At 45.3% G+C, this 15,615-nt stretch overlaps 1 protein-coding gene across 4 annotated transcripts in view, besides 1 other annotated feature; it reads left to right on the plus strand.

The window, feature by feature from the left end:
• MATN2 (matrilin 2) overlaps window positions 1–15,615 on the plus strand; it is a 167,661-nt gene that overhangs the window by 14,839 nt on the left and 137,207 nt on the right. For all 4 annotated transcript variants that reach the window (NM_002380.5, NM_030583.4, XM_005250920.3 and 1 more), the window contains exon 2: window positions 4,173–4,340. In NM_002380.5, the coding sequence (NP_002371.3) occupies window positions 4,199–4,340 (142 nt within the window). In that variant the 5' untranslated portion in view covers window positions 4,173–4,198. The remainder of the gene's footprint in view (window positions 1–4,172; window positions 4,341–15,615) is intronic.
• Window positions 12,941–13,440: an enhancer, noted in NCBI's record as "H3K4me1 hESC enhancer chr8:98909071-98909570 (GRCh37/hg19 assembly coordinates)". NCBI's record gives its function as "activates a minimal SCP1, AML or CMV promoter by ChIP-STARR-seq in primed H9 embryonic stem cells {active_cell/tissue: H9 hESC(primed)}" and the evidence as "EXISTENCE:reporter gene assay evidence [ECO:0000049][PMID:30033119]".

Here is a 15,615-nt window from a genome sequence, read left to right on the forward strand (position 1 = left end):
TTCGCCTCCCAAAGTGCTGGGATTATGGGCATGAGCCACTGCACCCCAGCCTTTTGCCATTACATTTTGATAAAAAGAAAGTTTTAAATATTTTTAGATACTAATGTGTATTTAACAATTATGGGTTTGTATGTCATTATTAGGATAATATACATAAGTAAGCATAAAATCTGTCTAATATACATTAAGTGGCTTAATATGACAAAATTAGCAGTGTATACTTTCTTTTTTTTCTTTTTTTTTTTTTCTGAGATGGAGTTTTGCTTTTGCTCTTGTTGCCCAGGTTGGAGTGCAATGGTGCAATCTTGGCTCATTGCAGCCTTCACCTTCCGGGTTTAATAAATTCTCCTGCCTCAGCCTTCCAAGTAGCTGGGATTACAGGCTTGCACCACCATGCCCAGCTAATTTTGTATTTTTAGTAGAGACGGGATTTCTCCATGTTGATGAGGCTGGCCTTGAACTCCTGACCTCAGGTGATACACCCACCTTAGCCTCCAAAGTGCTGGGATTACAGGTGTGAGCCACTGCACCCAGTCAACAGTGTATACTATTGATTGGTTTGATTACAGAATAATACCAAAAATAATAACAGCAACAACAGGCCGAGTGTGGTGGCTCATGCCTGTAATCCTAGCACTTTGGGAAGCTGAGGTGAGTGAGGAGTTCAAGACCAGCCTGGGCAACATGATGAAACCCCGCCTCTACTAAAATACAAAAAATTAGCTGGGCATGGTGTGGCGCACCGGTAGTCCCAGCTACTGGGGCGGCTGAGGCATGAGAATTGCTTGAACCCAGGAGGCAGAGGTTGCAGTGAGCCAAGATCGTGCCACTGCACTCCTGCCTGGGCGACAGCGAGACTCTGTCTCCAAATAACAACAACAACAACAACAACAACACGGAATAGCTAACACTTAAATTCAGCACTTTCTATGTGCCAGGCAGTGTTTGAAGTGCTTTAAATATATCTACATATGAACCGATTGATTCTATATAACAATTAGGTCTACTGTTATCTCCGTTTTAAAGATGAGGAAACTGAGGTCAAGAGAGGGTAAGTAACCTGCTCAGGGTTGGACAGCTAGCATTATTTTGCTTTGTTTATTTTTAACTCCTCACTCTTCACCTATCCTCAGTGCCTTTTGGTTAGCAATGGTGACTTGAAAATACAAACATTTCTTGAAATCCACAGTAAACCCAAACCACATGCAATGATGTTTGTTTTTTGGAAATGATCACACACCACATCATATTCCAAGTGTTGAGTGCATATGCCTCGGAGTGGAAGTGGGCCTTGAGAGCATGTTGTATACATTTTGAAACAAATAAGCCTAGACTTTTTATCTGCTCGGTTTGGAGAAAGGGGAATAGCAATAAAATCATAAATCACATATAAATGATGTAACACACTGAATAGTGTTTTATAAAATAAGGTGAGGGCATGATGGTGCACACCTGTAGTCCCAGCTACTCGGGAGGCTTGGGTGGGAGGATCACTGGAGTTCAGGAGTTCAAAGAGCCAGTGAGTTATTGTGCCACTGCACTCCAGCCTAGATGACAGAGTGAGACCCTGTCCTCCCACCACTAACAAAAACCCTGAGATGATAAATAGCAAGGCAGCTTGAAAGTAAATAGTAAGTTTAGGATTTGAGAAAGGGGCAAGATGTTCTAAGTTTTCTTCCTTTGTTCAGAAGGAATCTCAGAGTTAAAGCTATGAAAAGGGATCAATCTAATTAGTAAAGAGTTTAAATAGGCTGGGTGTGTTGGCTCACACCTGTAGTCCCAGCTACTTGGGAGGCTGAAGTTGGGGGATCCCTCGAGCCTGGGAGGTTGAGGCTGCCGTGAGCCATGATCACACCACTGCATTCTAGCCTGGGTGAGAGAGTGAGACCCTGTCTCAAAAAAAGAGTTTAAATGGTTTAAAAAGGGGGGTGAGGAGAGTAGTTATTTGTAATGAGCTAGTGCAGGGGTCCCCAACCCCCACCCGGAATTAGTCCATGGTCTGTTAGGAACCAGGCCGCACAGCAGGAGGTGAGCAGTGGGCGAGCTCAGCTTCATCTGTATTTACAGCCGCTCCCCATCGCCTGTGTTACCACCTGAGCTCTGCCTCCTGTCAGATCACCAGCACCGTTAGATCCATTAGATTCTTTTTTTTAAATTGCTGCTGCACAAATTAAGGCATTAGATTCTCATAGGAACATGAACCCTATCATGAACTGCACACTCCTTATGAGAATCTAATGCCTGATGACCTGTCACTGTCTCCCGTCACTCCCAGATGAGAACATCTAGTTGCAGGAAAACAAGCTCAGGGCTCCCACTGATTCCTACATTATGTTGAGCTGTATAATTATTTCATTATATATTGCAATGTAATAATAATAGAAATAAAGTGCACAATAAATGTAATGCACTTGAATCATCCCAAAACCACCCCCACAGCTGGGTCTGTGGAAAAATTGTCTTCCACAATATTGGTCCCTGATGCCAAAAAGATTGGGGACCACTGAGCTAGTGGGTTCTGGAACTTCACCTCTTATGAGCGATGTAACCTTGGGCAAGTTACTTCTCTGAGATACTCTATAAATTAAATCACTTAATACGTTGAAGGCACTTGGCCCAGTGCCTGGCACATAGGAGATGCTGAATAAACATTCACTATTTTTAATATAATCTTAATGCATAGTAAAATTATATTAAAAAGAGTGAGCTAGTTCAATACAGCAAGTGTGAAAAACTGGACTCTGAAGGTTGACAGGCCCAGGTCCATTCCCAGGTCAATTTCTGGAAGCAATTTGCTGAACAAACAGTTCGCTGAAATAGTGAGGTTTTTTTTTAAGTTTTGAAACATGGTCCCTGCCCCACCCCTGCCCTGTCCCTGCCTCTGACAAAGAAAGAACTATGGCATTTCATGACTTGATTTCTGGGGATTTTCCTTTCAGTTTTCTACTAATCAATGCATTGGAAAATTGACCTGCTAGTCCTGGGTTTGAATTTGTTTTACCTTTTTTTTTTTTTGAGATAGGGTCTCGTGCTGTCACCCAGGCTGGAGTGTAGTGGTGCAGTCTCTGCTCACTGCAGTCCTGGGTTCAAGTGATTCTTGTGCCTCGGCCTCCTAAGTAGCTAGGACTGCAGGCACGAGCCACCACACCTGGCTAATTTTTGTATTTTTAGTAGAGATTGGGTTTCGCTGTGTTGGCCAGGCTGGTCTCAAACTCTTGGCCTCAAGTGATGTGCCCACCTTGGCCTCCCAAAGTGGTGGGATTACAGGTGTGAGTCACCACACCTGGACTTTTTTAACTTTTTAAATAAATTTAAATTTTTTTTTTGTAGAAACGAGGCCTTGCTGTGTGGACCAGGCTGGTTTCAAACTTCTGGCATCAAGCAATCCTTCTATCTAGGCCTCCTAAAGCACTAGGATTGCAGACATGAGCCATGGCACCTAGACTTGACCCTGGGTTTGAATTCTGGCTCTGACACTTGCTAACTGTGTGTGACCTTGGGCAGGCCACTGACCCTTCCTGAGCCTTATGGGAATGTGGGAATAATATTAGGTAATGGAGCAAGTTAATATAGGTAAAGAATTTAGAATAGGGCCTGGCACATGGCCTCAGTCTAGTACCAGAGTCCAAGCCCATAACCACTGTGCCAACACTCTTGTAATAAATGTATGTGGGAGACAGGGAGGCTGGGAGGCTGGATATGTGATGCTACTTTATGTCAACTACACATGAATTTTATATGTATAATTTATATAAACTAATTGATGCCATCTACTATTATTAGACTGAACAAATATTGTTACTTGGAACTCTCAGATATGTAATAGCTTTTTTTTATTCAAATCCAAAATGTAAAATGTGACTATGAGTAATTGATAATGAACTTAACTGATAAGAAACTTCAGGATAGATTTTTCTCAAGTTTTCCATTCAGTCTTACAGTGATTAAAGTGATGAAAAATTCCAACTATGCATGCCCTGCTCGGAGCGTCCAAGAAGAGCCTACCAACGGGGGCTACTTAAGCTCTCAAAGGCCAAACACACAAACGGCATTTTGAGTGCAAGTGGTCTGTTTGAACTCTGAAAAGGCGGGGCAGCGGGCCTGCAGCTCCTGGAGTTCAGGGAGACCCGGAAATCTCACCCTGCCCTCTTCTTGTGTTGTGTTTGTCACAGCCTTGCCCCTCTTGCTCGCCTTGAAAATGGAAAAGATGCTCGCAGGCTGCTTTCTGCTGATCCTCGGACAGATCGTCCTCCTCCCTGCCGAGGCCAGGGAGCGGTCACGTGGGAGGTCCATCTCTAGGGGCAGACACGCTCGGACCCACCCGCAGACGGCCCTTCTGGGTGAGTGGTGGTGCTCACCCCCAAAAGTGGGCAGGTGGGGGTGGTTTGGGGAGGGCTCAGGGACAGGGATTGGTGACTGTTTGAGAAGCTTTCCTTTCCCTGGGTCCTTGTTGGATGTGCTGGGCCTGGGGTCCTCACTGGTGGTGAATGCATCCGGAGTTGAGCACGTGGTTGCACACGAGTTTTCAAAATAAACTTTTCTTTGAAGCCTTTAATTGAATCTGAGGCTTATGGCTTTTCTCCAATATTCAGGGCAAGATTTCTCATCTGAAAATGTCCTTGTTGTTGGACCTATCTGAGCAAAGGTGTTATGAAAATTTTTTATTGGGTTTGCCCAGCTAGATCTGTTAATAATGCTTCCCTGCATGGCAGCAGGGAAGTAAGAGCTGGGCCAGAAGAGAGGTGGGGACATTGTGAACTGAATCGAGGTATTAGGAATGGAAAATGCCAGGGGTCTATTCATCTGATCCAGTGAACATTTTTCCTAGAAAAAGGAAATGTCATGAAAACACACGGAAAACATGTAAATCAGCTGATTCTAAACAAGGGCATTGGTAAGCCTGGCATGTGGAGGTTATAGGAAGGTTGGGCAGTGCCAAGAGAATGAGTTTTGGCATTGACCTGGGTTCAAGTCCTGCCTCTGCTACTTTCCAGATGTGATATAACCTCCCTGAGGCTATAGATGTGATATAACGTAGGTGATATAACTTCCCTGAGGCTCAGTTTTATCATCTGTAAAATGGAAGTGTGAATGCCAACCTTGGAACATTTCTGAGAAATAAATGAGGTAATATACATACATTCTAGGTACTCAGTAAGTAAAAGCTTTACCACAACTGTCATTCTATTAAGTTCTTTGAAACTGTATTTGACATTTATACCTTGTTGGCCAGCCACTCGAATCTGACCCCCTGCAAAGGCTACTAAGAGAACTGCCCAGTGACCTGGTAGCCTCAGTGGCATCCGAAATTACAATCAGGGACCACAGGGACCTAAAGAGCCCTGTTTTCAGAGGTCAGAATCTTTATTGATGTTAACTAAGTGAGGACCCCAGTGATAGGTCTTCCAGGTTCCTGAAAGTCCTTGTTTCCATAGTGATGTAAACAACACTTTTGCAAATGTGAAAAGGAGTGGGAAGTGTTTAGTATGTTAATTGAAACGTTTTAAAAAAGAAATTCCAAGATGATAAACAACATCTCTCTCTCTCTCTCTCTGTCTATATATATATATATATATATATATATATAAAACTGATGATGCACACAATCTTGGCTCATTGCAACCTCCGCCTCCTGGGTTCAAGCACATCTCCCACCACAGCCTCTTGAGTAGCTGGGTTTACAGGGGCACAACACCACGCTCAGCTAATTTTTGTATTTTTAGTAGAGATGGGGTTTTGCCATGTTGGCCAGGCTGGTCTCAAACTCTTGGCCTCGAGTGATCTGCCATCTCGACCTCCCAAAGTGCTGGGATTACAGACATGAGCCACTACGCATGGCCAAGATACCTGATTTCTGGATCACCAGCAGTAACTGCCCAGTTGGGTTTCTGATGGGGCTGGTCTCAGGAAAAGCCACCACACACTTGCCTGGAAAAGCACACTGCTTCTCTAGGCTCCAAGTCTCTCTCTCCCTCCCTTCCTCCCTCTGATACACACACACAGACCACATCACCCCCACCTTCCCTGGTTGTCAGCATTCACTGTCGTCCTCCTTTGCCTAGAAGCCCATTTTGCTAAAGGCACCAACCCTGCATCCAGCATTGATTCCTTCTTCTCATTTTTCAAGAGAATGTGTCAGAGACAAAGAGGAGGATGGGGCACAACCTATCTTTCCCACCCCAAGACTGGAAGTGGGCATGGGTGTTTTCACTCCGTGAGCTGTGCAAGTGGCTGCTCCCAGATATGCTGGAGGGCTGCTTGGCTTATGAAAATGGTGGAGTGGGCCGGACATGGTGGCTCACACCTGCAATCCCAGCACTTTGGGAGGCCGAGGTGGGCGGATCACAAGGTCAGGAGTTCGAGACCAGCCTGACCAACATGGTGAAACCCTGTCTCTACTAAAAATACAAAAATTAGCTGGGCATGGTGGCGGGTGCCTGTAATCCCAGCTACTCGGGAGGCTGAGGCAGGAGAATCGCTTGAACCCAGGAAGTGGAGGTTGCAGTGAGCTAAGATCGTGCCACTGCACTCTAGCCTGGGTGACAGAGTGAGACTCTGTCTCAAAAAAAAAAAAAAAAGAAAATAGTGGAGTGACAATCATGAAACCAGAAAGCAAACACTATAGCTGTGGCCTGGATTCTCAAGTGCAATCTGCTTTTTTTTTTCTCATTTTGATGGGGAACAAAAATGGAAAAGCATGCTCATTGGTAGTCCTTGCCCCGAGGGTATGACCTTCTCTTCATTCTTAGAATAATGTAGTGTTTTGTATTTTATGCATGTTTGCTTCTCTTGGCTCTTGGACTATTTGTTCAGAATATGGCCCAGGCCACATTTCACTTTTTAATGGCAAATCATTTTGGCTGAAGTTATGGCATCCACTGGCATGATGGATTTTACTGGTTATTTGCTTGCAAGTATGTTCCTGAAAGTTTAACAGAGTAGAAACAGCAGAATTGTTTCTTAGGTTAATTTTTTTTGAACTTTCTGGGTTTTAAAAATGTTTATCTTTTATGTTTAAATTCAGGTCAGAGTCTCAGTAACAACTTGAGTCAGTTTGAAAAAATAACGCATGTATATATCCACCATCCTGTGAACATCTGTGGGCTGTTCACTCGGCAGCCTGTGATGTCTGTCCACATGGGCTTATCTCTTACCTCATTCATTTATCTGGAATTTCTACTCTGTGCCAGATGCCGGTTGGGGGTGTGGGGGTAGTGTTTAAGATGAATAGACACCATCAGGAGGTGCACAGAGTAGTGGAAGAGACAGGCATGTGAAAAGATCATTAATTTGGTAGAATCGGTGTGCAAAAGTAGAGGCATAGCTACATTATAGCTCAACTCTGCCTGCTGAGCAGGCTTAGTGTAAGGCAGTGGTTCTCAAGCTTTGGTCTCAGGATCCTTCCTTTTACGCTAAAAATTATTTTTATTTTATTATTTTATTTTATTTTATTTTGAGATAGGGTCTCACTGTCTCCCAGGCTGGAGTGCAGTGGCATGATCATGGCTCGCTGCAGCCTTGACCTCTTGTGCTTAAGCAATCCTCCAACCTCAGCATCTCAAGTAGCTGAGACTACAGGCACATGACACTACGCCTGGCTAATTTTTGTATTTTTTGTAGAGACAGGGTTTCGCCATGTTGTCCAGGCTGATCTTGAACTCCTGGGCTCAAGCGATCCTCCCCCCTCAGTCTCCCAAAGTGCTGGGATTCTAGGCGTGAGCCACTGTGCCCAGCCAAAAATTATTAAGGATCCCAAATAACTTTTGTTTGTTTTTTAAGAATCCTGAGGACAATCAAGGGAGCTTTGTTTATGTGGGTTAGATCTATTGGTATCTACCTGATCAGAAATTTAAAAATAACAATAATAAAATCAGAATGTGTTAACAAACTATATATGTATAAAAAACTATATTTTCTGGCCAGGTGCAGTGGCTCATGCCTGTAATTCCAGTACTTTGGGAGGCTGAGGTGGAAGGATCACTTGAGCCCAGGAGTTTGAGACCAGTCTGGGCAACATAGGGATACCTTGTCTCTACAAAAATAAAAAAATGAGGCCGTGCACAGTGGCTCACACCTGTAATCCCAGCACTTTGGGAGGCTGAGGTGGGCAGATCACTTGAGGTCAGGAGTTTGAGACCAGCCTGGCCAACATGGTGAAAAACTGTCTCTACTAAAAATACAAAAATTAGCCTGGTTTGGTGGTGTGCACCTGTAATCCCAGCTACTCCGGAGGCTGAGGCAGGAGAATCACTTGAACCCGGGAGGCGGAGGTTGCAGTGAGCCGAGATCACACCACTGCACTTCAGCCTGGGTGACAAGAGTGAAACTGTCTCAAAAAAAAAAAAGAAAGAAAAAAAAAAATTAGCCGGGTGTGGTGGTACACACCTATAGTCCCAGCTAATTGAAATGCTTAGGCTGCAGGATCACTTGAGCCCCAGAGGTCGAGGCTGCATGAGTGAGCCGTGATGGTGCCACTGCACTCCAGCCTGGGTGACAGAGTGAGACCCTGTCTCAAAAAAAAAAAAAAAAAAAAAAAGAAGAGTAGCACCGTTTTACAGTTTTGCAAATCTTGTAACGGTCTGGCTTCGTAGAAGACAGCTAGATTGTCATTTCTTGACCATTCAATCTGTCATGAAATGTTTTCGTTAGATTATATGAAAATGCATGGATATGTAGTTGGAAAAGGGAAGAGCATTTAAATAGCCTTTTCATATAATTGTGAATGTTCTTTGATACTACACCAAAACTTGACAAAGAGTAGTTTCTTAAAGTTTAGTTGCAATGTGAAATCTAAAATCAGATCAATAAACTTTTTGTTCTCTATATACCCACAAGAGAATGAGAGTATGAAAGGCAAACATTCATGTTATTATGGAAATAGTTCTGACCTCATGGATCCTCTGAAAAGGCCTCAGGGACCCCTAGAATTCCCCAAACTACACTTGAGAATGGCTGGTTTAAGAGAATTGTTCCCAGTGAAGGTCCTGCCCACGGAGAGCCCTGTGGGACAGCAGGTGGCAGAGGCATGAGGATGGAGTGTGGCAGTGGGGCTCCGATGTGGCGCTGGGTCTGCCAGACAGGTGGTCTGAGCTGGAGATAAGGCAGCAATAATTTAGGACCTCGAGGGCTCCAAGGAAGGAGTTTTGAGCTTCATTTTGCAGGGGTAGGAGCTGTGGAGGGCTTTAAGCAGTCAACAGTGGGTGTCGCTTTGTCTTTGCACCCACTGTACTCTCCGGACAGACTTGACCTTCCTGGGTTGTGGCAAAGAGCAGGGATCTAAATAGCAGGCTGCAACAGGAGAAGGAACGAGCACCTGCTCTAGCCCAAAGACCCCTCCAGGCCACAACGCTGGCAGGTAGAGTCGGAGAATCTGACTGTGCTGTACCCAGAACCCTTTGGACTTGGATTCTTCCCCTTGACCAGCCTTATCAGTGGCACCCATCCCCTTCCACACTCCTCGCTAGGCCCTCCTCAAGGGGGCGCTAACTGGAAGGCATGCTGCCCCACTGCTAATGGCCGCCTGCTTCGTTTGTGCACACTTTTTCTCTTTGTTACCCCACTTTCCTATGAGGAGGTGGACCTGTCTCCAGAACAACCAGTGGGGTATATCAGCCTTTTTGGAAACCTTAACCCTCCTTGCCCAAACTCCCAGAGTATTCTTATTTATTTATTTATTTATTTATTTATTTATTTATGATAGAGTCTTGCTGTGTCACCAGGCTGGAGTGCAGTGGTGGGATCTCGGCTCACTGCAACCTCCGCCTCCCAGGTTCAAGTGATTCTCCTGCCTCAGCCTCCAGAGTAGCTGGGATTACAGGTGCCTGCCACCACGCCCGGTTAATTTTTGTATTTTTAGTAGAGACAGGGTTTCACCATGTTGGCCGCCTGCCTCGGCCTCCCAAAGTGCTGGGATTACTGGCGTGAGCCGCCGCACCCGGCCCCCAGTGTATTCTTGATTCCCTCCACTCCACAAACTACTCTACAGTCAGCCAGCTTGTGGTCTCTGGTGGTGGTCTGTCTTATGAGGTCTTGTTGACATATGCATTCTTTTCTAAATTTACCAAACTGGCTCATTTTATTTCTGCTAACTAAACTTGAAAGCCTTTTCTTTTCCTATTATAGACTCTCCTTTGGATCAATACTACACACTCAGAAGTTATGTTTGTGTTTTAAGAGAGCATTTTGTGGCAATATGGCATCAATTCTAGAAGTGGGAGACAAAGATTTAAAAGGAAGTTGGCCCTGCAGTCTGGTCAGGGGATGGTAGGGCCTGAGCTCCCTCCCACCCCACACCCCACCACACACACTGCTGGAAGAATTCCAGAGGTGTTCCAGGGTAGACACCACAGCATTTAGTAAAATTTACTCATAACAGTTAATTTACTACTTAAAAACTAATGAAGAAAATCTAAGAATTCACCTTTTTTTTTTTTTTTTTTTTTTTTTAGACAGGATCTTATTCTGTTGCCCAGGCTGGAGTGCAGTGGCACTATCATAGCTCACTGCAGCCTGAGCTCAAGCGATCCTCCCAAGTCAGCTTCCCAACTAACTGGGACTACAGTCATGTACTACCACGCCCAACTAATTGTTTAATTTTTTTGCAGAGACAGGGTCTTACTATGTTGCACAGACTGGTTTCAAATTCTTGGCCTTATGCAATCCTCCTGCCTTGGCCTCCCAAAGTGTTGGGATTACAAGTGTGAACCATTCCTCCTGGCAGAATTCACCTTACACAGCCCCAAATTCTGCTCTTGGGGAATCACAGTGTATTAAGAGACACTTATTTTCATTTTTGCATGTATCTCTAAACCTGACATCAAAATATTCATAAAATTGCAATACGTTTCATATAATGAGCTGAAACCTCCTAAGTGAGCAATGTGAAGTTGTTGGCTGCCTGGAGAATTAAATGTAAGCATGGCCTGCTCTGTGTTGCTAATGGAAATTTTTACCTAGGTTGATATTTATTAACCCCCCCTTTTTTTTTTGAGACAGAGTCTTGCTCTGTCACCCAGGCTGGAGTGCAGTGGCGTGATCTTGGCTCACTGCAACCTCCGCCTCCCGGGTTCAAGCAATTCTTCTGCCTTGGCCTCCTGAGTAGCTGAGATTGCAGGCGCCCGCCACCATGCCCGGCTAATTTTTGTATTTTTAGTAGAGACGGGGTTTCATCATGTTGGCCAGGTTGGTCTCAAATTCCTGACCTCATGTGATCTGCCCACCTAGGCCTCACAAAATGCTGGAATTACAGGCGTGAGCCACCGTGTCTGGCTCCAACCTACATTTTTAAGGCTTAGCTGCCACTCAATGGATTTCTACATCCCAAAACAATACCTTTAATTGACTTTTATTGGCCTCCTCTGTGAAGGACGGAAAGCAGATGCCAGAAGCCATGAGAGGCTCTGGCTCTCCGACCAACCCGTGGAAGCCACTAGTCTTAAATTTCCTGAAGCCATTTTGCCATGATTAAAACTTTTGTCTCCTTCCCTGAGCTTTCCAGAGCTTTGTCCATTCTCTTCCTTCTACCTGGAATATCCTTCCCCAGACAAGACCCATTCTCATCCAGGGCCAGGTCAAATGCCACCTCCTCCCTCTCCAGGCAAGACCTCCATTGAGGGACCACACACATTGCAGGCCCTCTGCCAAAGTGCCAACCCTCTCTGCCTTACATTCCAAGGGGTAATAGTGATACTTACCTCAGAGGGATTCACATTTTAGCTATTTTTGCACTTGTCTCATTTTACTACTAGACTGTCTCTTCAAGATAGGGACTGAATATTTTTCATTTCTCATAGCACCTATGAAAGGCAACTCTCATTTACTGAGCCCCTGCTGTGGGTTGGGACGTGTTATCTCACCTAATCCATAGCAGGAGCAAACACTGTAAGGTAATTCTTGTTATATTCTATTTTCAGACAAGGAAGCTGAGGCTCAGATAGGTTAAGCAGTTTTGGCAAATTTGTCAAGACTTCTGCAAACCTAGACAGAAAAGGTGCTCAACCCCCAGCCCCTTTATGGAAAGGATGCATGGCTTAGGGGCAGATATGCGTTGGAGCAAAGAGAAAGACACGCGTACTCTTGAATGTACTATTTTAGCCCCTGCTTGCTCCTTGACCCAGAGTTTTTGTGTAGACCATAGAATGCCCTGCCCATCTGTATTTGGAGGTGCTGCTGCAGCCGGTCACACCTGGGTTCTACTGACCTCCAGCCCTGGCTGTGGTCCTGCCCAGGGCTCAGTGTGTATTGAACAAGTAAGTGAATGAGACATGCAGAAGGCTGATTTCATTCTTATTTGAATGATTTCAATCTTGATTAACCTTCTTAGCAAGAGGTTATTTTCTTCTCCTGGACCTCAGTTCATTCATCTCTAAAAGAAGGAAGTTGAAGTCAATGATCTCTCAGGTCTCATCTCAGATGTGGTGATGTCACCAATTCCCCTGACATCCCTTCTATGTGGGAACCCTGATGAAATCCGCAGCTTTCCCTCACTGTGTCCAGGTAGGAAAGCCAAGGAGGAACCATATTCTGGAAGCCAAGGAAGGAGAAGTTTTGAGACACAGGGTGGTCAGTAGGATCAGGCAGGACAACAGGGATGGGGCAGTGGGATCAGGTAACACAGCAGGGCTGGGCAGTGGGTTCAGGCAGAACAGTGGGCTGGGCAGGGGATCAGGCAACACAGCAAGGTTAGGCAGTGGGATCAGATAATGCAGGGCTAGGCAATGGGATCAGGCAACACAACAGGGCTAGGCAGTGGGATCAGGTAACACAGCAGGGCTGGGCAGTGGGATCAGGCAACATAACAGGGCTGGGCAGAGGGATCAGGTAACACAGCAAGGCTGGGCAGTGGGATCAGGCAACACAGTAGGGCTGGGCAGTGGGATCAGGCAACATAGTAGGGCTGGACAGTGGGATCAGGCAACACAACAGGGCTGGGCAGTGGGATCAGGTAACACAGCAAGGCTGGGCAGTGGGATCAGGCAACACAGTAGGGCTGGGCAGTGGGATCTGGCAACACGACAGGGCTGGGCAGTGGGATCAGGCAACACAGTAGGGCTGGGCATTGGGATATGGCAACATGACAGGGCTGGGCAGTGGGATCAGGCAACACAACAGGGCTAGGCAGTGGGATCAGGCAATATGGCCGGGCTGGGCAGTGGGATTAGGCAGTGAAGCAGGGGTTGTTAAACTTCATTGTGCATCAAAAGCTCCTGGAAGGCTTGTTAGAACACAGATTACTGGGCCCTGTGCTCAAAGTGTCTGATTCAGTAGGTCTGGGTTGGAGCCTGATAAGTGGTATTCCTGGAAACCTCAGTTTGAGAACTATTACTGTAGAGAAACCTACAAGGTTGGGTGGGAATGGGCAGGAGGAAAAGATACTAGAAGAAGATGCTGTGGGGCATGAGCCGGAAAGACAATACAAGATGAGTAACATCTGCAGAGAATTGCAGCTGCAGAGTATAAACTAACTGTAATCTAGGTCCAGCCCTTCTGAAGCTTTACAAATAAGCTGCTAGCATTGTCCAGCCTTATAGGGAATTGGCAAAAGGTGAGTTTCAGGCCTACATGGGAGCCAGCCTCTTACAGCACAGCAGTTAGCAATACACATCTAAAGAACTAAGTAGCTGGCATGTGTCTTTATCATCAGAATAGATTATACAAATGAAGGTCGATGCATTGAGCTTATCAAATTGTTTTAAATATAGCAACGTTTGTTTTAAAATTTTTTTTTAAACCTTTGAAGTAAAACTGCCTCTTTTTCAGTGCTCAGCTGCAGTGCATCACGGGCAGTACAATGACAGCTGGAAACATGGACCCCATGGAGGCGCTGTCATGGCCGCCCTCAGCACAGACCTGCTGTTCCCTATCAAATTCATCCTCTGTGCCTATGCTCTGTTTAATATAGATTTTTATAAACTGTATGAAGTAAAATTCTTCATTCCTATCTTGTGATTAACGCTGGAAGAATCCAAAAAGCACAGCGTCTGACCTCCAATAAGCCATAAAGTTAAAAGCTTTTCTAGGCAATGAATATATAACCTGATTTTTTTCTCCTACAGATCCTCTCTCTCCCCTTCTTTCTCCCTTTCTCCTTTGTGTGAAACTCTTTCTTTATCCCTTTCCTTTTCTATAAACTTCCTTGATCTTTCCCTCTCCAGTACCCCCCTTCCTCATTCCCTTCTTCAGTTCCAGGATGTTCTCTCCTCAGCTTGCCCATATATTTTGCACCTGCAACTCATGTGTGTGTCAGGGAGTAGAGGTGAGGGATTATCCCTTCCGTGAGTGACAGTCACCTTTCTTTTCTTTGCTGGCTGGTGCTTTTAGGAGACAAGGTGTACAACCTTACCCCTAAGGAGCCAGTCCTGTCCTTCGTCTCTCTATCTAATGCTAATAATGATAACAATAGTAGTGATGACGGCCGGGTGCGGTGGCTCATGCCTGTAATCCCAGCACTTGGGGAGGCCAAGGTGGGTGAATCACCTGAGATGAGGAGTTTGAGACCAGCCTGGCCAACATGGTGAAACCTTGTGTCTACTAAAAATACAAAAAATTAGCCAGGTGTGGTGGTGGGCACCTGTAATCCCAGCTACTCGGGAGGCCGAGGCAGGAAAATTACTTGAACCTCGGAGGCGGAGGTTGCAGTGAGCTGAGATCACACCACTACACTCCAGCCTGGGCAACAAGAGTGAAACTCCTTCTCAAAAAAAAAAAAAAAAAATAGTAGTGATGACAAGCCACCATGTGCCAGGCACTGTGGTAGGCAGCTCACACTTCACTCTGCATGTACTATTATCCCTTAAATGTCTCATACAAGGTCATTCAACTACTGAGCAGCCAGAGGTAGAATTCAAGAAGCGAACTTGCTGTTTTCTCTACTTAAACTCTTTTATCACCCAGGCTGCAGTGCAGTGGTGCGATCATGGCTCACTGCAGCCTCGACCTCCAGGCCCAGGTGATCCTCCTATCTCAACCTCCCAAGTAGCTGGGATTACAAGCACGCACCACCATATCCAGCAATTTTTTTTTTTCATATTTTTTTGTAAAGACAGGGTTTCACCATGTTGGCCAGGCTGTTCTCGAACTCCTGAGCTCAAGCGATCCTCCTGCTGTGGCCTCCCAAAGTGTTAGGATTACAGGCATAAACCACCACACCCCGCCTTCTTGAACTCTTTTCTATAACCCCACCCACCCTGTTTTATCCAGTTGAATTGGACTCATCTTTCAGGTCTCAGTGGAAGCGCTTCTAATCTTCTAGGTTGGGATTTAATACCCCAACTATTGCATTCCCATGGAGTGCTGTATGTCCCCAAAACTGCACTTAGCCTGTACAGCAATTGCCTGCTTAATTGTCTGTGTAGTTCGTCACTGTACCAGCATAGCTGAGCAAGGTGCCTGGTACACAGCAGGTATTCCATAAATGCCTATAGGAAAAGTAAATTAACGGACTCTTCCTCAATAAATATATATATGTTCTAGAAATTTGAGTTGTATATTAGTTTCCTAGGGCTGCTATAACAATATACCACAAAGTGGGTGGTTAAACAACAGAAATGTATTGTCTCACAGTTCTGGAGCTAGAAGTCTGAGCTCAAGGTGTCGGCTGTGTTGGTTTCTTCTGAG

This window comes from Homo sapiens, chromosome 8 (assembly GCF_000001405.40).
Source record: "Homo sapiens chromosome 8, GRCh38.p14 Primary Assembly".
In the NCBI taxonomy this organism is placed as follows: Eukaryota; Metazoa; Chordata; class Mammalia; order Primates; family Hominidae; genus Homo; species Homo sapiens.